General features: G+C 35.0%; 1 protein-coding gene across 45 annotated transcripts in view; it reads right to left on the reverse strand.

Moving 5' to 3' along the window:
- Nucleotides 1–23540, reverse strand: part of DLG1 (discs large MAGUK scaffold protein 1) — a 256762-nt gene that overhangs the window by 134479 nt on the left and 98743 nt on the right. For 37 of the 45 annotated variants that reach the window (NR_158764.1, NR_158765.1, XR_007095643.1 and 34 more), the window contains exon 5: nucleotides 17387–17551. Coding sequence is in view for 39 of the 45 variants with exons in the window: in NM_001366203.1 (NP_001353132.1) it covers nucleotides 17387–17551 (165 nt within the window). In the remaining 6 variants the exon portion in view is untranslated. Of the gene's footprint in view, nucleotides 1–6536; nucleotides 6835–17386; nucleotides 17552–23540 lie in introns of those variants that run through there. The other 8 variants (NR_158767.1, NR_158766.1, NM_001204388.2 and 5 more) reach the window with 1 other exon arrangement.

A 23540-nucleotide genomic window follows, 5' to 3' on the forward strand; every position in this document is an offset into this window, starting at 1 on the left:
ACCAATTTTTGAGTCAGTACATGTAGGTGCACTGTAAAAGTTTCCAGAAAAACAGAAACATAAAATAGATCCTACAATATTTTTTGTGTCAAAGGGGGAACAATTGATTTCCAAGTCTGAGTCATCATATTAATTTCGCAAAGTTAGTAGCCTTTTGAGTAGAAAATTAAGAAACAAATGTGTCTGCCAAGGGTCAGCATCTCACAGCCAGTACAACAGCGTTTCCATCCAAACTGTGAATGTTTGGGGAGTCAATACCAAAGGAGACTATTTCCACCAATTTCTCTGGAAAATAACCTATCAATTAGAGTCAGTATTTTCAAAGCAGTTTAAGAAGATTGTCTACCTACCCTATACGTAGTCTACTTTTTAGTACAAAAGCACTACACTAATGAATATGAACAATTCCATTCCTTGGAGATGAAGAAAAAATATTTTATCAAAACACAATTATCATTACACATGAGACAAAATGAATGTGGTATGTACCGATAACACGGTTAGGTCAATCAATCTAGGATGGTCCAAGATGGAGATGTCTTGGTGTGAATTTCAGACCTGTTGCCTGGTGGGAATAGTCAGAAAATAAATGGTTATAACAGAGTGACCCCATATGCCTCTATTTACTTGGGAAGTCTGTATTTATGCCTGTTGTCTCACTTTAATTATTAATGATTCCCTCTTTTCATTAAAGTATCCTAGTTTGGTCTGAGTTATATAGTTATCCCAGTTTTGAGGAAATTGAATTCTCTTCTCTCCCTACCTCATTTCCTTGTGTGTATTTCTTCTCAGAGGGCAAGTAAGAATCATCAGTTAGAGAACTATTACAATGCTAAATAAAGTGTGATGCGCGCTTCACAGAAAGTCTAAGGGAAAAGACAGACAAACACACCTGCTTGGGCCCTCCTTAGCACAAGTTCGTATGTCCCTGTCTCTTCACTCATTCAACAAATATTTTCTGGTTATCTACAGTGTGCCAGCCACTGTCACAGAAACTGAGGATACAACAATAAACATAACAGAAAAATCCCACCCACATGGAGCTGACAGTCAAGTAAAAAGACAGTAAAAAATGTATAATAAAGAATCAGGTAAGAAGACAGAGTAATGTCTGGAGTGAAGGGGTGCTACCTTAGAGGAAGCAAAAAATATTAACGAGAGAAGTTAGATGTCTACTGCTGTAGTTCAGGCAACATATTATTGAATCAGTAGTTGCAGAAGTGTTGAAAAGTGGCCAAATCATAAATATATCTTGAATAAAAAGCCAACAGGATTTGGCATCAGACTGGATACGGAGCAAAGAAAAAAGGAATAAAAGATAATTTTAAGGGTTTTTGTCTTCAGCATCTTAGTGAATGGCATACTGAATAAAGAAGATTGAGACCAATAAAACTAGAAATTCTCTTTTTAATATGTTACCTTTCAGATGCTTAACCGAAGTGGAGATACTGAGTAGAAAGTTAGATATAAAAGTCTAATGTACAGGGATTAACTCTGGAATAAAGAGAAATACTGATGGTATTTAAGGGCATAGGACTAGATGCGATCACCTGAAATGTGAGTATAAAAAGAGAGTTCAAAGACTGAGCCCTGAGACATTTGAACATTTAGCAGTAGGAAAAAGGAGGATACTATAAAGGAAAATGAGGCTGGTAGAATATTAAAAGAGCAGTACTATCCACGAGTCAAAGGAGAAAAAAGAATTTAGAGGAGGGAGTAATCAATTGTGTTAACAGTTGTTGTAGGGTCAAGTAAAATGAACACTGAGAACTGGCCACTGGATTTGATAATCTACACTCACACAACGAGGGTTTTTTGGATGGTTGTTTTAATGAAAGATATTATAGCAGGTGTACATCCTGATAGGACTTATAGAGGCAAGTCTAGGGGCAGTACAGAGGCAAGACAGATGATGCAGTGAAGAGAGAAAGGGATTTCAGAAGTTCTTGAACAACCAAAGGGACTACGATCTAGTACAGAAGTGAATATGGGTAAGCTTTAGGCACACAGTTCATTTATTTTAGCAGGCTGGAACACAAAGCAAGATTATTTATTTGAGAATAAGACCAGGAATCAGGTATTGGAAGTTTAACGTGCAGTCTGCGAGTTGGTATAGAGAAGGCAGAGCTGCAATCCGGATGGTCTGGACTTTCTGTGGTGACAGGCTAAAAGGGATTTAGGATCTAAAAATAGTCCTCATGATATGTTTGGGGGATGCTTAGGGGAGCTTGGTACCAAGTGGATAATCACTTAAATTTAGTCATCTACACGTGACTGGTTTTCACCAATTTGTAGAAGGGAGTGCTAGGAGGGGAGGAAAGGTCAAAAAACTGGTAGTCTCATCAAGAATTTCAAAGGCTCTTTGGGGCACCTCCCTTAAATCCTGTAATTAAAGGTGTTGAGATCTCTGGTTCTTAAAAAAAGTGGATGGCTTGTACTTACAAATTAACTTAATCAGTCAACAATATTTACTGAATGTTTGAATGTACTGCGCTATCCTAGGTGCAATAATTCCTAATAATCTATATCTGAATTTGTTCATATACTATTAGAGTTAAATGATATAAAAATAAGCTAACAGGGGCACCTAACTCTAATGTAGCACTTACTCTGTGTCAGATGCTGTCCTAAGTACTTTATTAATATATACATTAAATTATTTGGTAGAAGTGACTCAATGACACTGATACTGTTATTCTCTCTATTGGACAATATATCCAATGCATAGCTCTAAAAATTAAATCCTCTATAACTCAGAAGGCATCTGTTTCAGACAAACAATATTTTTTAAAGTGTACAAATTAGCCTAAATATTTTTCCACACAGGCACTTGAACAATGTTTTCCTATATTTTTGACTTAGGACAGGGTTTTTCCTCTAAGCAGATTATTCAACTCAGCTAATATTTACTCTTTAAGAAAACTTTATTATTCTATTTCAATTCTGACAAGTTTTCATGTCTGTTCCATATTCCTAAGAATACAGCTTTGCTGCTCTCAGCTTAATTTGGCATGTTGTGTTTTTTTTTTGGGGGGGGGGGGGCTTTTTGAGTATTTATAGTGCTCTATATGTTGAGATTTTCAAGTAGTCCAAAATGTATGAATAGCTGCTATACACACATTCAAAATGACTGAACACTTCACAGTTATTTAAAGTTCATATGATTACTACTGACATTAATAAACGTCGATATCACTAAGTAAATAAAACTTTTCACCTAGGCGTTAATCAAGTAAAGTCTAGCAGCACTGTGCTGGAGTTCTATAAAACCCTGCTGAATATAAAAACTGGTCCCAGATTGGAACAGGACTGTGTATGCTAAGTAGGACGGGGCCGATTATTGAGTGACCCTCAACACAAGAATAGGAGGGACGCTGAGGGTGCGGAACCAAGGAGGGCTTCGCAATGCATAGAGAACTTTTTCTATACTAATCGTTTGAAATTAAGGACAAAAACACTATGAAGCCTCAAACTGAAAAAGTTTCACCAATGTAATTCATAAGAAACTCATTTTTATTTAACATTAAAAAATAAAACAACCTCTCAAAAAACCCACAATGTAAAATGAGATACAATGAAATGATAAAACTGAGAGACAGTGTGTAAGCTATTTGGTTATCACTACTGAGTGGGGACTGAAAGGGGTGAGGAAATCAGGGGAATCGGGGCAGTGTGACTGGAGGATAGTATGAAGAATGGAGGGGAAGAAAAGGCAGTGGAAAAGGAGATGGGCTGCTGTGAAAAACCAAAGACACTTGTGAGGGAAGAGAGAAGATCCAATCAATACAGGTACTGAAGAGGTATTAGATTAGGTGTCATATTTTGGAAGGCCAGGAGATAACATTTGAGGTGAATGGAATAAAAATTAATTAATTCTATAAGCATTTATTAACACCAACTACATGCCAAACCCTAACTGAGAAGCTAGGTGTCTTGCAAAAGTTTATAACCACTCAGTTTCCTTATCATTCAAAAAACATTAATGACTTCCTCCTGAGTTCCAGTATCATAGTAGAAAATGGCACATAATCTTAGTTATGAACATGAATACCTCCAGCAGACAAGCAATTTAAATGAATCTGTAAAATAAGTACAGGTTCTTTTTATGTATTGTGTATATTTGGGGGGATATTAAATCAGATACTTTTCATACTGTATTTGGGGGGGATACTAAACCAGATAGTTTTCATACTAATAGAACTTGATTTATAACAACTCTCCAATCTGCAAAAAGTATCATGTGGCTTAGTCATATGGAATTAGATTCAAAGTTAATCTTTCTGTCAAATCTTAGAGTATTTTTGACATCAGTGAAATAAGAGACCTCTGTTATTTACCAATCGCAGTACAAAACACTATGACCTTATTATATTCATAGGTATATATTATATGCTCTAAGTATGAAATTTCAATCTACGTTGTTTCTAACAATAAATCCCTTAGTGCTGCAAAAGAAAGCTGCCAGCCATGAGTCAGTAAGTGCAATTTAAAAAAGTATTCTAGTATCAAGTAAGATCCAATTATATCTCAAGTTATTTTTCAGTCCCATTATATTTTAACTTGTCAAATCAACTCCAGTAAGTTATAAAAAAATTAAGATATATAAACTATCCAATGTATCAGTTACAAAAATGTATAAAATGAAAAACAAAATGTTGGTACTCCAGTGCAAGAAAAACAGAAGCTAAAACCTCTACCCTAATACTCCTATTTCTAGAAATAAAATAGAAAGGTAATGAAAAAGACAAGATGAGAATCAGGAAAGAGGTCTGAAAGAAATAAAAACTATTAATAACTCATATACTAGCATACAGGAATGCTCTGAACCAAACTGGGTGGGGGCTGTCATGTAAAATGGCTTTGCAGAGCTGACTGCGAACAGGGGTCATGACTCTCTTCTGGCGCAATCACAGCAACGTTCTGCTCCTACTCCCAAGCGGCTATAACGTAACTCTGTGGTTTCAACACTTTATACATGAACTACTTTTCCTGTCTTTTCATTTGCCTGCTTTTAATAAACCGAGTGACAGATATATCAATGCTAGTGTTATCTGTGCATACATATATAGAAGGGTGTGCATTTACATAAACCATATATATATATAAAAAGTTCTAAAGATATCTGTCTTGTTGACAATGGAAAATATCATCTAGTATTAATCTACAATGAATAACATTGTCAACCTTTAGTCTTTGCATCCTTTCGTGATATATGTAATTGCAGTCAAAATAAGGTTAGTAAAATTCTTGGGGCAGTATTCAATTTAAGAGTTAAATCAATCGTTGCCCATTCAATAAGTTTTGATTGTAACTTAACCTCAATGCCTACATAATGACTCCCCCTTCCTAGGTAATTCCATTTCTCCCAAATATTTGAGAAAAGTAAGTAGAATTTCTTACTTAAGAAAGCTGATGTTATTTTAAATCAACACCATTAAAAGACAATTCTAGTAACCAAAAACAGTAAAGAAATTTATAAAAAACATATAAAGAAATATAGAACTGTTGACAGTTATAGTTTATATTTATTGAGCTGCTTCTATTATTTTCTTTAAAAGACAGCTTTAAGGGAATTTATTTTAAAAGGTCCTAAGGAATGTGTATGTATGTATTTTCCTAATTTAAATATCACTGATGTCAGAGGACAAATGCATTCTCAACTTGTTTTTAGACCATTTCTCGTCCTTTTATTTTTACTAAAGTTGAACTGACTGCTTAAAAATATTTAGAAATATGAATATTTCCTCAAACCACCCTTGTAGCAAACAATAGGTATTTCAAACAATTATTAATTTTTCTTTATTTTTCCTCCCATAGACAATAGCTCATTTCCTCAAAAAGTGGTGTTATGTGATTTTTTTTAATTTTGAGAGACTTTTAGTATTTGCTCATCTCTTTAAATTGTGATTTGACTATGTGAAAAAATATTCCATGACTGTGTAATTGCACAAGTTCACTTAATTTCAAATTAAGCTAGATAAATAATATTTACAAAAAACGATTCATTAAATCCCTTGAATAAGCCATAATATAGCTAAGATGTCAGTATATATAATACTAGCCAATTATATTAAATTGAATCTATTTTCAAAACACTGAAAAATGAAAATATTTCAAAGTATCTTCTGTTTCTTTACTGTAACAGTCTCCCTAAGGTTATCTAATAACATACAAAAACTAAACAAATCAGCATTTTCTTTGGTCAGACATCATACTCTACAGCATTTAGCACAGTCTAAAAAGGAGATGAGCATTATTAATTCATATTTTATGTATCAATGGGCTTATATTTTTAGAAAAGTCATTCAATTGAATCTGAGGCTATTTTGTTTGGTATTACATAAGAGCATAAGGAAAAATATTTCTTGTTCCCCCTTTTGTGCTAAAGACCTACACGGATGGACAGAAAACATACATTTCTACACATCCAAGGTTTCAAGGCTATTCTTTAAATAAAAAATCTATATTAAGACATTTTTACAGAGCAAACGTAAACAGAAATAGATTGAAAATAATTTCAACAAGTGGTATGTTACCTGGGTGGAGCTGGTGGCTACCGAGATGCAGTCAATAAAGCTGTGTCTTCGAGTGAAAAATGCAACTATCTGCTGCCAGCGTGAAGGTTCTGGCTCAGCTTGCAGTTCATCTGACGAGCCCTTTTTTGCCCAGTGTTTCTGCTTTGGGCCTGCTGAGCCATGGCTAGAGCTAGTATTGCCTCCTCGACTGCCGCGAGAGTATAGAAGTGTGTTGTTTCCGAAAATGTAATTCATCTCTGCAGCCCTGCAGGTGGTTGCCAAGCAGGCTTACTTCTCTACCAGCTGCTGAGTGGTGAATGATCGGTAAAAACTGCAGCTACAATTACAGCAGCATCACTTGTAGATCAGTGAAAATAAAAACCTTGAGAAATGATGCTCATTTTCTCAGTGATTTCTTCCTATGAAAGAGCTCGTATCTTCCCTCTGTACCTGTTAGCTGTATGATGGCTGAGTTTATTTTTGCAGACAAAAAAGACGACATAAGGTGGATTTCTTTCTCATGATTATTTTTTCACCAGCGTCTGCAGGAACCAAAAGCTGTTCTTTTGTTAGCTGATAACTAGATGGATTGAAATCCAGGAAGTGAGGTCGATTAGCAGGTAAAGAAGGATGCTATAAACACTGGACTACCAAGACCCTGTGGGGCTGCCTGATTTAATGCACTGCGTGGAAAAACCCTGGATTACCAAGTTTCAACCACAGTCTGTAGTAAAATCCAATGGCACCTTCACTGCTTATATAAATTATAAATATGAACTGAATTAAAACATATAAGAGGATTCTCTCTGCAAATAGTTCTGACTGTTAAAATGATTTCACTAAAAGAATCTTTGTCATTCATATCCAAATTTCTACACCAGGCAGATCTTACACATTATCTGGCACTGGCTCTAAGTTGTTCAAAGGTGCTGCCTACATTAAACTCTGACTATCTAACGATAGCGCTTCATTACAAATGGATTTTCCTTTATCATTTTATGTAATGTATTGGTTTTTAATGATTAACAACTGGGTCTCAAGGTAGATTAATTACTAAAACAAGTATTTTGCTTCTGGAACCTTTATGATAAAAAAGAACTTTCAAGAAATTATCAGCATCATCTCTCTAGTATTTTATAAACATTCATATTACAAGGTCATAAATTTCTAAAAATGAGAAAGAATTAACGCTGGTAAATTTTTCGTTTTATAATCAGTGAAATGTGTTTTATCCAACTCTACATAAATACCACTCTGGTTCACCAAATACTATCACCTGATTGCTAAAGGAACATATTCTAACATCTAATATTTAGGTTAACATAATAGTTCGCCTGAGAATTGCCTGGGGCGCTAGTTATATATGCAGATTGGTGTATCCTCTCCCCATCAAAATGTTTACGGGCAGGGGGAACCTGGGAATTTTTATGTTTAAAATGCTTCCCAAGTGACTCTTAAGTACCTTCAAGTTTGAGAACCACAAACTCCCAAGCAAGCCCTCTTAACACTGTGCTATATTAGTAATTACAACAATGGTCATTTTAAAACAATATGTGAACAAAAACGCTACTTGATAATTTACTATTGGTTGAATAATCTAATTTTTAAGCTGATAAGAGCATATCGTAAGTCCCAACCTCAGCCATGGATATTTTTTCGGATGTGGACTGACAGAATCTTCCTTGTCTACGTGCTTACCAGCACCAACTGGATGCAGCCTTTTGTCAAACTACAATGTTGAGGTCCACTGCAAATCTTGACTCCGCAAGAAAACATGCTAATGCTGTCTCTATGATGCGTCTGCTGAGAAGTGAACATGTGCTCAGTAAGGGTGAGAGCCATGTGGGACTCTTGAGGGCAAGATATTTTGTGACAGAGATTATACCAGAAAGTTTGGTGCTTCTTCCCAAGGACTGTGCCGGCAGTAGCTGACAATTTATGGCCCCAGAGTGATCCTATCTAATTCGGAGTAGAGAATGTAAGAAAATACTAAGGGCGGACAGGTAACTAAGAATCCTCTTGTGAAGGAAAAAATGAAACCTCCCAGAAAAAAATTCAAGTTTTGTTATGGACCAGGTACCTAGTAAAGACCTGATTAGTGTGGTTTATATAAATGCTACGGTAATTGGTCTGGCCCTAAAATATGTGCCTTGATCCATGTCTGATGAAAACTTCAAGGGGAGGAGAAAACTGATATGGGTTCTGTTATTCTGAATTAGTATGGATGAAGATACTGAATACAACTGTTGAATGCAAATCTCCTACCTCAAACTGTAAACAGTACCAAAAGACATACAATAGTAGGCTCTTAGTGAGCATCTATTTATCCTACAGAGCCAGAGAACTTAGGGGTCAATGGTAGGCTCTTAGTGTGCATCTATTTACCCTACAGAGCCAAAGAACTTAGGGTACAATCTAAAGTTGACAGATCACTGCCTCCCATATTTCCCCAATGTACAGGGAAGAAATACTTCTTGATGCAAATTTCCTATCCAAATCCATTCACATCAAGAAAACAACTTCAAGTTTTGGGAAAGACTTCTTTATGAAAATGTCCTGTTACATGACCTACAAAAATCTAGGAACACCTCATCCATTGGCCAGTAGTCAGTATATGCACACAAAAAATCTATACCTAAATCACAAGAGGGGTTTCACATGAGATTAGACTGGGAGGTGGAAGGCGGAAGGCAACCAACTGTTCTTTGCTTTAGAATATCCTCTCTCATTACACAGCAGAGATGAAAGATAAAAACTCCATTAAAACCAAATTTAAGTTCATTAAAGAAAAACCTGGAAAACCTATTTAAAATAATGGATGAAAAGATGGTATGCAATCTAAACCACCAAAAGGAATCACTATTAACATCTTAATATGATATACAAAGAATATTCTTTTTTCCGTAATGTGTTTTCTTTTTCAGAGTGATAATATAATCTATAGAATTCTAGCCTAAACAATAGAGAAAGCTTAAGTTAGTAAACTAAATACGATTAGTTCAGTGGATTACTATGTAATTCAAAACATGATTATGAAAAATTTATGACTATGAGGAATATTTACAATATTAAATGGTAATAAAAAGTTAAAAATTTATACTGGATAGGCTCTCAATTATTTGTGTACGTTTCTAAAGTCACAAACCCAGCAGTCTTTAGGTACAGAAACAAAGGCAAATACTAAATAATCTTTTATTTGTTTGTTTTTGAGACGGAGTCTCACTACGTTGCCCAGGCTGGTCTTGAACTCCTTGGCTCAATCCATGCTCCTGCCTCAGCCACCCACGTAGCTGAGGTTACCACCATGCCCAGTTTACTAAATAATCTTAGTGAAAAATGTAAAAAGGTAAAGGACAAGAGGAAAAGCAATACTGAAACTCTAAAGTACAAAAAAAACCCACCAAAAACCCAAAGTAACTACAAAGCTAATGTAACGTAAATGCAATATAACAGGCATTTTTATTACTCTTTTCTAATGTGGGCTATTAAATTTCAAAACATACAACTGTATTGAGATAAGACAAGACTGAGAAGAGTGACAAGAACACAGATTTGCTATTTATCTAGAAAACCCTCAATGTCACACATACAAAATCCCTTCTGTATGAGCACCATCTAGTGGTCAGTGCATGCAAACTATATGCTCACCTTAGTATACCAGGTCCATGATAAAATTCAATCATGTTTCTATATGTTCCAGAGATGTAAAGATAAAGTTGATTTCAAAAACTGCTCATTATATACTAGAAACAGGAAAACTTCTATTCCTCTAGCATTTGGTTCAAAAGGCTTATATTTGCTTGTGTCCATTTTTCTGCCACTCCCATTTCTTACAATTTTTTAAAAACTACTAAGAGCTGCTAGTGATTTCATTATATTCTCAATACTACTGGATGAAATAAAATGCTAGGAAATATACTTATTTAGCACAATTATCTGCTCATTGACCCTGTTTTTTCTGTTTGATTTCAAGTCCCTCTTAGTAATGTTTACTTTGTATACAATAGTTTGAGCATAATTTTCCTTGCCATTGAAGACAAAAACCAAATATAAATTACTTGTTTCTTCAATGATCACTGCATCCTCCCATACACTCAATAATACTCCTACTGTCCTCCCTGTTGCTTCATGTACATTTCAAACTTTTTGGGAAAAGGCTGAGGTTTTTATTTGTTCGATTTACTGTTCTAACAATTTTTCCTAATTCTCAGCTCATTTTCAGTTTTAGAACCTTGACACTACTCTTACATAACCCCAAAATTTACCCACTGTGTCCTTCTCTTCGACATTAAGATTTTTAAAAAACTATTATATCCCCTATTTCTTTCTTGATATTCTTCCCAACACTGGCAAGAAAGTATCCCTTTCAGAGTCTTAAATTATAAAATCATAATTATCTTTATGCCAAGCCCTGAATAAAGTAACCCAATCACTATCTTACTTTACTCATTATTCCAGTAAGGAGAGCCACCACCATCCACTACCACCACCACCACCACCACAATAATCTAATAGATTAATTCACGGCATGTTTCATGGTGGCAAACCTTTCATAAGAACATTCATCATACAGGTCTTTTAGATTTTGCCCTCATTTCCTAACATGCACCCTAAGTATCAGCAATAATAACATAAACCTTCCTGCATTTCTACAGTTTCTTGTGATTGTCACCCTTCCACTGTATTTATTTACCCCAGTAACGGCCTCCTCCTCTGACTTGGCATCTTACACATCCTTCAACACTTTATGCAAATGTCAACTTGCTTTTTTCAGAAAACTCCAAGAATTTAATTTCTCCCTCTTTCATGTCACATCATACTGTGTTAACTATCTTTCCGTAAAAAAATACTAATCACTGATGTCTAACACAGTTACTAGCACAGATGTTTAATAACTGTTTGCTAAATGCATGTATTGCTTGACACAACTAATATCCTAGCAGTTGATTTTTAAAGCATCTATTAAATTTTATTTTTACCATTAGCTTTTATTAGAATTGTGAAGACTAAAGCTGTGCCTAATTTACAATCTACTCAGCAAACCACTGTTAATTCTAAGATACTTTTTCAAATTATAAAATAATAATTCATATACTGACTTCTACATGCAGCGTAACAGCTGTTCACTCCAAACCACAATACTATAAAAGAGGAAAAGCTCTCTATATTAGCTTTTATTTTAAAAAAGAGACTACTAGTCTAATACTTGACACTGTATTTTAAATAAATTGTTGAGCTTCTTATAACATTCTGGTTTTTTAAAAATTAAGATGAAAAAGCATTAAAGCTTGCCTTCTTATGTCAAAATAAGGGTTGTTTTCCTTCAATTCCGGTTTTCTAACAAAAAGTTAAAGGAACCCTACCTACTCTGCTATAATGCTCACCTGCTCCAAATCTATTACACCCCTCAAATAATTATTTTACGTGGCATCTGCCACAGTAACCTAGGAATGAAAGAGGGGAAGCAGGTAGAAATTCCCCAAACGAAACAGTCTTAATCATTCTTAAATTACAATTCTATCAGAATACAATCTGTCAGAAAGTTTCAAGAACTTGAGAAACGTTCATATTCTTCTGACTCAGTAATCTGACTTCTGGTAATCCATCCAAAGGAAAGAAACTAAATACTTTTCATGTCCAAAGATTACTCATTGCAGGTTTCTTTACAAAACCTAATAAAAATAGAGATAACAGATATCTGAGAGCTGACATGGTCATCAAATTATGGTGCAAATATATCAGGCAATATTATGTATCAAGTTTAAAGTTTTTAAAGTTTAAATTTTTAAAAACTTGATACATCATATTACACAGGAAATATACAAGAAAATATGTTTAACAAGTTTACAATAGGAAAAAACATTAACATATTAAAGTGTGATTTAGAAACAAATGATAGAGAATACACACAATTTTTTTCTGCTGGGATTGAAAATCCTTATCTACTCAGTTTGCAAATATGAATCAGACAGCCAGCAAACCAAAGTGAGGGAAAGGGGACTAGTGAGGGAAAGGGGACTAGTGGTTTCACTTAAGAACCCCAGAGGATGGTTTATAATTGTTTCAGAGACTGATCCTGTTAATACCTAACAAAAGAGAACAAGATGAACAAGGCAGAGCAAGAGAATGGCCCACAAAGATGGCCAGGTTTTCAGACGCTTCTCATAGAACCAGCTGAATGATTATCATAATATCCTAAGACTCAGGAAAGCATGCTGGTACTTTCTTGATCTTAACAAAACGTGTCAGGAAAGGTTTACATATGACTACACAAAGATCGCCACTCAGATAAGGCCATGACAAAATGCCAGCAACTGCAAGATTTCCACCAATTTCAGAAATGGTAAATGTGGAAAAGGTAAGTCTTAGAACTGATGATAAAGGACACTTTAATTAATAACATACTCCTTTAAGCCTCTATAAAATATTTCTTTAAAAAGCTGTGAGGGACATAATCCTTTATCATTGTCAGAATAAACAAAAAGCAAGTATATGTAAAGAAAAAGCAATTTAAAGCAGATACCAAAAAACTGACTTCTCATCTCTTATGGTCAGAAAATTAAGGAAGAAATGAATCAGATTAAGAAAGCAGTGAAAATCTTAAAGTATGAATGCTTTCTCTCTCAATACTATCAATTTAAGTCTCTCACTCTAGAAGGAGGATTCGACAAATGATGTCAGAAGTTTACTTGTAAATATTAATAGCTCAACACAGATAGCACAGTAGTGCAGGAAAATACCTCAAGCTTTGCATTCACGGGGGACTAGTTCCAGGACTAGTCCCCCGTGAATCCTCGCATACTGTACCCAAATCCTCACATACTGAAGTCCTGAAGTCAGCTATGCACTTACAGGAAGTCAGCCCTCTGTATACTTGGGTTTTGCATCCTACAAATACTTTTATGTTTGATTGCATTTGTTTGAAATCTGCATTTGTTTCATCCGCATATAAGTGGAGCAGTGCAGTTCCAACTCGTGTTGTTCAAGGGTCAACTATAGTAGCCGTAATAGTGGTGGCACAATGCTTCGCAACTGTGCCCGCACATTAGAAACACCTGGAGAACTTGTAAACCTCCCAAAGGCCAGTCTGCGTTCCAATTCACATCCCAAGATTGATCACCTTGCATTTAATTACAAGAATCATATACGGAGATGGCTGCTAAAAGGGTTTTGTCGGCCGGGCGCGGTGGCTCCCGCCTGTAATCCCAGCACTGTGGGAGGCCGAGGCGGGCGGATCACGAGGTCAGGAGATCGAGACCATCCTGGCTAACACGGTGAAACCCCGTCTCTACTAAAAATACAAAATATTAGCCAGGCGTGGTGGCGGGCGCCTGTAGTCCCAGCTACTCGGGAGGCTGGGGCAGGAGAATGGCGTGAACCCGGGAGGCGGAGCTTGCAGTGAGCCGAGATCGCGCCACTGCACTCCAGCCTGGGCGACAGAGCGAGACTTCAACTCAAACAAAACAAAACAAAACAACAACAGAAAGGGGGGTTTTGTCATATTAATCTTTGATTTACACAAAAAGTCTTCCCAATTATAATGAAGTAGGTTTTCACTGATGAAGGTAGTGGCTTATTAATCAGCAAAATGGGATTTCACTGGTGAAATCCATAGCATCCCAGTTATGTGAATTTTTTGAATTAATTTAGAGACATAATACACCCTTGCATAAGGGAAACGGAAGACTCTGGAGAGGCCTAAACCCTTAGGGATAACACCTTAGGTTTAATCCCTAAGACATCTGGAGACTCTGGGTAAACAAAATCTTGTGTCTGGAACATTGTTTTATCTGCTTAGAATGAGCATTTTAGGCAACAACGGAAAGCTGAGGTTTCATGAGATTTAAAGAATAGGCTACATAAAATATGCATGCTGGCTCACTGTTTAAATGTCTGCTTGTGTCATAATCTGCAAACACACCAAAATAACTACTAAAATACCTACCAAAAGACCAGAGTTGGCCATGTGCAAATTGGCTTTGGTTGGTTTGTAACAATAAGGATGACCGGAAATTCAAAACATCAGAAATAAAAAAATTATACATATCCTGGGAGTGTTTTTGGACAAAAATAATAAATAAATTAGATTAACTCAATCAAGATAAAAGCAGGCTGACAAGAACAGCACATTCAACAAGCAGTGTTAGGGCTTTACCCGTGCTGAGGTTCTTATGTTGTCTGGAGTAAGAGTGAATGGCATTTATTTACTTTAGACTTTTAAAAGTTAAACATATATTAAAATTTCTACAATAACCACTAAAGGAAGAGAAACAATTTTTAACTTCCAAGCTAGTAATAAGGGAAAGTGAGATGAGAAAATACAATCCAAAAGAAGATATGAGCCAGGTGCAGTGGCTCACACCTGTAATCTCAGCACTTTGGGAGGTCAAGGGAAGAGGATTACTTGAGGCCAGGAGTTCAAAACAAGCCTGGGCAACAGAGCAAGACCCTGTCTCTACCAAACAAAAAAAATAGCCAAGCATGATGGCATGTGCCTGTAGACCCAGCTACTTGGGAGGCAGAGCTGGGAGGATCACTTGAGCCTAGGAGTTTGGGGCTGCAGTAAGCTATGACTGCCAATGCACTCCAGCCTGGGCAACAGAGCAAGACCCTGTCTCAGAAAAACAAAAACAAAAAAGACAAAATGGAAGGAATAGTCTCTAATGTTTAAGAATTAAACACGCTTCTAAGTAACTCACGAGGCTAACAAAAAACAAATCACATCAGACATTAAAAAAATACAATAAGAAAACATTACATATTCAAACTTGTGGGATACATTTAAAAATGCTGTTTCAAGAAACATTTATAAAAGAATACTACTAGAAAAGAAGGCTGGTAATTAGTGCAATAAGCAAGTGACTTGAGAAACTAGAAAAACAAGAAAACAGAATAAACTCAAAGAAACCAAAAAAGAAAAAAATAATAATGATAAAAAGAGAAAGGAAGAAAAGATAGAAGAACTGTTTCTGCCACTAACTGGTAAACAGCCAAAAAATCAGATTTTTTGGCTGTTTACTCTCCTTAACTCTCTTTTAGTTCCCCAAGGGAGGATCAGATTACTTATACTGAACACTATCTTTAATTGATATTCAGCTATCCTACATGTAACTTATATTTACATATACACATATGAATGTACATACATAAACATGTCTTTATGTATGTGTATGTGTGTATAAGAACAGAGGGGTAAGGGTGGTGGCAAACAGGGCAGGGACTCAAGATAATTGTTTTTTTAAGACGGTTCTTTGAAAAGACCATCTTTGAAATTGACACTTTTGGCAAGAATGGTGACGGAAAACAAAGAGTCTGAAATAAGTGATATTATGAATAAAAAAGGGACCATGCCTACATATGCTATAGATATTAAAAGGTATTAGCAGGATATCATAAATAATAATTTGAAAATATATCTGAAATGTTAAAAATTACTAGAAAAAAATAGCCTAGCAAAATTAACTGATAGAAAATCTGAATCGTACTATAACCATTAAAAATTTTAACCAGTAGTATGATATCACTCCTCAAAGAGAATTACAAAATCCAGGTAAATTTTACTAGTAAGAAATGATCCTTAATGAAAATACACACAACCAACAAAGGATTAATATTCAGAATATAAAAGAAATACAAATCAATAAAAAGAACGACCCAATACAAAAATGAGCAAAAATCTTAAATGGGCACGTAACAGATAAGGAAACCTAAAGGACCAATAAATATATCATACCTCCCTAGTAAAATTCCCATTAAAATCACACTCAGATACCATTTTGAAACCAAAACAATGCCAAAAATAAGAATACCGATTGAAGAGAACATGGATCAATTAAAAACTGTTAGATGTTCCTGCTGAAACTGGAAATGACACAGCTACTGAGAAACAAGCTGGCTTTATCCACAAAGATGTATATATAACCTGTGTTTTTACAAGCACTTTTTACACTAGTAATAACCTGAAAATAAATCCATATCCATCAAAAGTAAAATAAATTGTAGTATATTCATAAAATAGAAAACTCTAAAGCAGTGAAATTTATCAATGTGAGGAATGTAATACTGAGTAAAGAGTGCAAGTTAAATATACAGTATGAGTCCATTTATATAAAGTCCAAAATATGCAAAACAATTGATTAGCAATCGAAATATATGGTAGAACTTTAATAAGAAAGGGTAAATATACTCAGGATTATAGTTACTTCTGAGGGGAGAGATGATAGGATCAAGAAAAGTCACATATTTGGAATTTAAAGATGATGTTAATGCTCTTTTTTTTTTTTTTGAAATGGAGTTATTGCTGTCGCCCAGGCTGGAGTGCAGTGGCGTAATCTAGGCTCACTGCAACTTCCGCCTCCCAGGCTCAAGTGATTCTCCTGTCTCAGCCTCCTGAGTAGCTGGGACTGCAGGCATGTGTCATCATGCCTGGTTAATTTTTTTGTATTTTCAGTAGAGATGGGATTTCACCATGTTGGCCAGGCCTGTCTTGAACTCTTGACCTCAAGTGATCCACCCACCTCAGCCTTCCAAAGTGCTGGAAATGCACTGTTTCTATACCAACTAATATTTAAAAACAAGTGTCTGAAAATATTTCAGTGTGTGGTATTTGAAATTTAATAGTTATTTCCATCGTGGGAATTTTTAGACTTAAAGATAGCATCACTGACTAACATTCATTTATAAAATACATATTTAAAAATGTTTTCTGGAGTACTAATAAGCACCTTGAAATTCTCCATAACTATGAAACTAAAATGGGGGGGTGGGGTAGGGCGAACCTACATGAAAGAATACTTCTCTCCGAGCATGAGCTATATGTATAACAAAAGTAATATGTAATTCATAACAATAATAAATAGATACTATCCTACCTTTATTGGTGAAATATGAGAATGAGAAACAAATCCATGGACATTCTCAATCTCTGATAAGTTCTTCTCTGAGACATGAACCAATTCTGGACCTATCACTTCATTTGTGATTTGTGGGGAAATATGCTCTTGAGGAGGTGTATCTTCATCCTGATACCTGTATTTCTGTAAAGAAAATAAACATGAAGAAGCCCTGATAAGCAACATGAGTTTAATTCAAATCATGGTTTTCATAACTAGCCAAATACTCAATATTTAGCAATATAAAAAGTATATTTATGGTTTAATACATCAGATCTCAGAGAAATAGGATTTTACTTTAAAAATAATGCCAATAATAAAATTATTTAATTTAAACATTAGAAATAATTCAAAGCTAGGTGACAAGAGAAGACTGAATATTGATTGCTCATTTCTTACCCAATGTTAACTGAATCATGTATCTCTAAGATAAAATTATTTAAATAAAGTCAATGGAAAAGCCAAAGTTAGGCACCTTAGTCTGGTTTTCTTACTCCGTTAACTTGTACACAAATTTTTTAAAAGTCAGCCATTTTAATTTCTACCTGAAAATTAGTTCAGCAGACAATCACATTTTTTATTTTAACTATAATCTCTCTCTCTCTCTCTCACACACACACACCTCTATGCAATCTATTTCTAAAAAATTACCATAATTTTAAAAAAAGCTTCCTCACACCAAGCTGAGAAGGCCTATGGCATAAATAAAGACACACTGAGATAAAATATTCTTTCCCATCACCCTCGAATAAACCTACTCATAAAGAAAAGACACAAAACAAGGCACAATAAAAAAAGAATTTCAACAAGAAACCAAGGTTTATTAAGTTGCTCTTATCAATGATTTAAAAAAAAAAAAGCGAACATAAAGTGATATTTTTTTAAAAAGGCATACAAATGGGTCAGTACCCAGCAATCCCACTACTGGGAAAAAAACCAGTCAATCAATTGATTGATCAGTAATTATTCCAAGAAGACACATGCATGTTCACTGCAGAGCGATTCACAATAGCAAAGAAATGGAATCAACCAAGATACCCACCAATGGTGGAATGGATAAAGAAAATGTGGTACATATACACCACAGAATACTATGCAGCCATAAAAAAGAATTAAATCATGTCCTCTGTGGCAACATGGATACAACTGGAGGCCATTATTCTAACTGAACTAACACAGGAACAGAAAACAAAATACTATTATGTTCCCACTTGTAAGTGGGAGCTAAACACTGAACACACATGAGCACACAGATGGGAACAATAAACACTGGGGACTGCTTGACTGGGGAGGTAGAAGGGGGTGTGGGGTGGATGGCTACCTATTGGTACTATGCTTACTACCTTGGTGACAGGATCATTCCTACGCCAAGCCTCAGTGACACCAATTTACCCATGTAACAAACCTACATATGTACCCCCTGAACTTAAAATAAAAGTAGAAAAAAATGGGTCAGTAAACTTAGAGGAAAAAACGCTCAGCTTCTTTAGTGAGAGAAAAAAAAAATACAGCATCAGCATTCAGAGAAATGGGCATCCATCATCACATTCACAGTAGAGGCCTTTTTCTGGAGGGCAGTTTGGCAGTATGTTTCAAAAGCCTTGAAAATGTTTTCACTCCTTGATCCAGTAATCCCACTTCTAGGAATGAGAGACAGTATTAAGGAGGAATATCAGTTATCTCTTGTATAGATAGGAGGAAAAATGTACGTTTGTAAATGCACACCAAAAAAAAAAAAAAAAAAAAAAAAAGAATGGTAACTATGGGCTTGACTGCTGAAAGTTACTATACAACCTCCAGTAGCACTTTTTAAACAACATCCTTTTGTGAAATGGTACAATCACACGGAAAACATCAATCTGGCTTACATCAACATTAGCTTATTCGATAGGATATAAGAATAATGTTTTCACAGATGACTGCAATTAGTTTCAAAACCAATAAAAAAAGGTTCTCTAACTTTATCCTGTAATCAAGGCTGACGTTAACATAAACATAGAAAACCTAACACAGTTTACATACTCAGTTGAGTGGAAACACAATCTAAGTACTCTCAGGAGTAGATATAAGGAAGGAAATGTGGTGCCATCTTTTGAAACTCTACAGGTACTCAACAACTTAGGATATACTTTAGAAGAGATACATGGATAAGGATATTCACTACAGTTTGGAATTTTAAAAAACTGACAATAAACTGCCTATCAATCAACTAACAAAATGTCTAAAGAAATATGGCACACCCATCGTAGGAAATTCTACACAGAAGTTAAACTGACCAAAAATCTACATCTTCTAATAGGACAAAGTAAAAACATAGATAATTGAATGAGGAAAGGATGTTTCAAAGCTACAGATATTTATATACACATGACATGTATTTTCTACATAAAACTATGTATGTACATAAATATATTTAAAATTTTATATAAATGCACTGTTTAAACATTTTTAAGCAACACTGTATGTATGTATCATTATATATGTGTATGTGTGTATCCATGCTTATGAATGTACGTATGTAATTTGGAGGGAAGTGAAAGGAATTAAAATTTAAAAAAGCCTCATTCTTGAAAGAAATAATTTTAAAACTATGTCTTTTAAGTATCTTTTAATTTATAAGTTCCCTCTTGATCCTTTTTTATTCCCTATAATTATGGAAAAACTCAAGGCATTTGACCTAAAGAGGTTCCAGTAGAATGACTGCAAAATCATGGGGCCCTTCAATGCAGACCTTTTGCTTCCGTATTTCCTGTAAATTGGTAGCTGGACGCAACAACTTAATTAATCTCACGTTCAGTCCTTTTGGTAAGACTACAGGTGGTGGTGTGTTATTTTATCAGAAAGCATATAATACCTGTCTCTCTTTTTGTAAAGTTAGCAGCTCTTGATATTCAATGCCTAAACTAATTCATTCACTGGGATTTGCAAAAATTGTGACAAACTAATTCTATATTTATTTTTCATTAATGCAATGGAATACATGTATAAAGAGATACTTCACCTACTATTTGGTTATCTGTTGGTATGGTTCACACAGGTGAAACAGGAAAAATGCCCTTATTTACTAGTTTTCAAGACAGATTTGAAAAATTGGCTCCCTGCCATCTCCTAAGGTGATCAGTTAGGTTTCTATACAGCATTCAATGCAATCTCTATCAAAATTCCATCAGGCACTTTTCCCCCACAGAAACTGACAAGCTGATCCTAATATCCACACGGAATTGCGAGGAACACAGAATAGCCAGAAATAATCTTGAAAATGAACAACAAAGTACAGGGCTCACACCTCCTGATTTTGAAACTTACTACAAAGCTACATTAATCAAGACTATGGTACTGGAATAAATATAGATATATAGATCAATGGAATTGAATAAAGAGTCCAGAAATAGATCCTGACATTTACAGTCAATTGATTTTGGACATGTGTGTGCCAAGGGAGAAAGAATAGTTTTTTTTAACAAATGATATTGGGACAACTGCATGCAAAACAATGAAATTAGATCCTTTCCTTACACTAGGTGCAAAAATTAACACAAAATTAACCAAAACTTAAATATGAGTTACAGTTAGAAAACATAAGTGTAAATCTTTGTGACCTTAGGATTAGGAAATCGTATCTTGGATATGACATTAAAAGCATCAGCAACCAAAGAAAAAACATAAATTGGACTCATCAAAACAAAACAAAACAAAACAAACAAAAAAATACTTTTGTTCATCAAAAGCCACTATCAAGAAACCGAAAAGATGACCCAAAGGGGCCAGGTGCGGTGGCTCACGCCTGTAATCCCAGCCTTTCGGGAGGCCAAGGTGGGCAGATCACGAGGTCAGGAGTTCGAGACTAGCCTTACTAATATAGTCAAACCCCGTCTCTACTCAAAATACAAAAATTAGCCGGGTGTGGTGGTGGGCACCTGTAGTCCCAACTACTTGGGAGGCTGAGGCAGAGAATCGTTTGAAGCCGGGAAGTGGAGGTTGCAGTGAGTCGAGACCAGGCCACTGTACTCCAGCCTGGGTGACACAGCGAGACTCAGTCTCCAAAAAAAAAAAAAAAGACAAACCAAACAATGAGGAGGAAAATATTACAAATAATATATTTCATAAGGGTCTACTGTCCAGAATACATCTTATAGCTCAACAAGAAGATGAGTCAATTTAAAAATGGGCAAAAGATTTAAACATTTTCCCAAAGAAGATATACAAACAGCCAATAAGCACATGGAAAGATGTTTAATATCATTAATCATTACATAAATGCAAATCAAACCCATAATGAGATACTACTTCACATCCAACATGAGGACCATAATAAAAAAAAGACTGATAGGTGCGGTCAAGAATGTGGAAAAATGGGAACTCTCATACATTACTGATGGGAATGAAAATGGTACATTCCCTCTGGAAAACAGTTTGAAGGTTCCTCAAAAGGTTACATGAAGTATCTTAAGACCCAGCAATTTCACTCAAGAGGGAGAAATGATGCTAATGGATATGGAATTTCTTTCTGGGATGATGAAAACCTTCTGAAATTAGTTAGTGGTGGTAGGTGCACAACTCTGCGCACATAACCATATACTTTAAAAGAGTAAATTTTACACTATATGAGTACCTTCAAATTATTATAAAAATTATCATGATAAATTGATGGATTATACATAGCTGGTGATAAAATCTATTGAAAAAATCTTTTCTGAAGCTGAAATTGACATATCTCTAGCCAATGGGAATCTCTTAAAGTTTCTGAGTTCCCTTATACTTGTACCTTTAAGAAAACCTTTTATAAAAATACAGTTACCAAAACTAAAGTCTATTCTCTATTATAGGTTGAGCATCCCTAATCTGAAAATCCAAAATCCAAAATGCTTCAATTTTCAAAACTTTTTGAGCACCAATATATCACAAGTGAAAAATTCCACATCTGACCTTATGTGATGGGTTGCAGTCAAAACTCTGTTTCATGCACAAAATTATTAAAAATAGTGTATATAAAGTCCTTCAGGCTATGTGTATAATGTGTATATGAAACAAATTTCATCCCATCCCAACATATCTCATTATGTATATGCAAATATCCCCAAATCTGAAAAATTCCAAAATCCGAAACGCTTCTGGTCCCAAGTGCTTTGGATAAAGGATGCTCAACCTGTAATTATTCAAAAAAGAGAAACCTTGGGTTCATTACAATTATTATTTGAGAAAGTACTTCCAAGTAGCTTTCAGGGCCATCATTACATTACACAGCAATATTCATCTGTATTTCTTGTTATCTAAAGGTTTATCTCAGCCTATTTCCAATTTTTTGTAACACTGAAAACTTCATATAAAACCAGTTTGCCAATAAAGTAGAATGTAGAAAACTAAGGCCTCCCTAAGGATGGTCCAAGTCTAACTTACCTAACACTTATACTAAAAAGAATTACAAAGTGTGATGAGGGTTAGGGATGAAGGAGGAAACATATTTTTAAATGATTATAGTAAGAACATTCTAAACACATTTCCTCATCCTTTTTTATGTTTTTCAGGCCACTACCTTTGACATAAAACTTTACACTGCCCTTAATCTTGGTTAACAATATCAGCAATATTATTTTACTCACTACTATGACTTACATATAGGAATGTGACTAAATTACTACTTCATTCCTGTTAGATAATTTCCAGATATCTTTCTTTAGAAACAATTTTCTGATTATGGAAATGATGCAGATTCCTGAATCTATTAGAAAATCCAAAATAACTAAAATTAAGGCCAAAAACTAAGTATTTAATAAAATATTTAGTACAAGGTTCTTAAATCAATACCAGACAGTTGAACAAATATTATTAGTGTGCAAATATCTCCCTATCTACCCCTCAAATACTTATTATTTCAGTAGTAAATTTAAAAGAAATATTTGGTACCACATATTGTTCCATGCAAGCCAATATACTTCATTTTAAGAAAAACAGCAACACATTAACATAAAAGGAGCAGTGAGGCTTAATATGAATTCTTGAAACAGATGAGGATTAACATGTGTTGAGGAATGGAGGCCAGTATTACCCTGTTATCAAAACCAGAAAGGACACAGCAAAATAATAAAACTATAGGCCAATACCACTAATGAACATAGATGTAAAAACCTAAAGA

This window comes from Homo sapiens, chromosome 3 (genome assembly GCF_000001405.40).
Source record: "Homo sapiens chromosome 3, GRCh38.p14 Primary Assembly".
Classification (NCBI taxonomy): domain Eukaryota; kingdom Metazoa; phylum Chordata; class Mammalia; order Primates; family Hominidae; genus Homo; species Homo sapiens.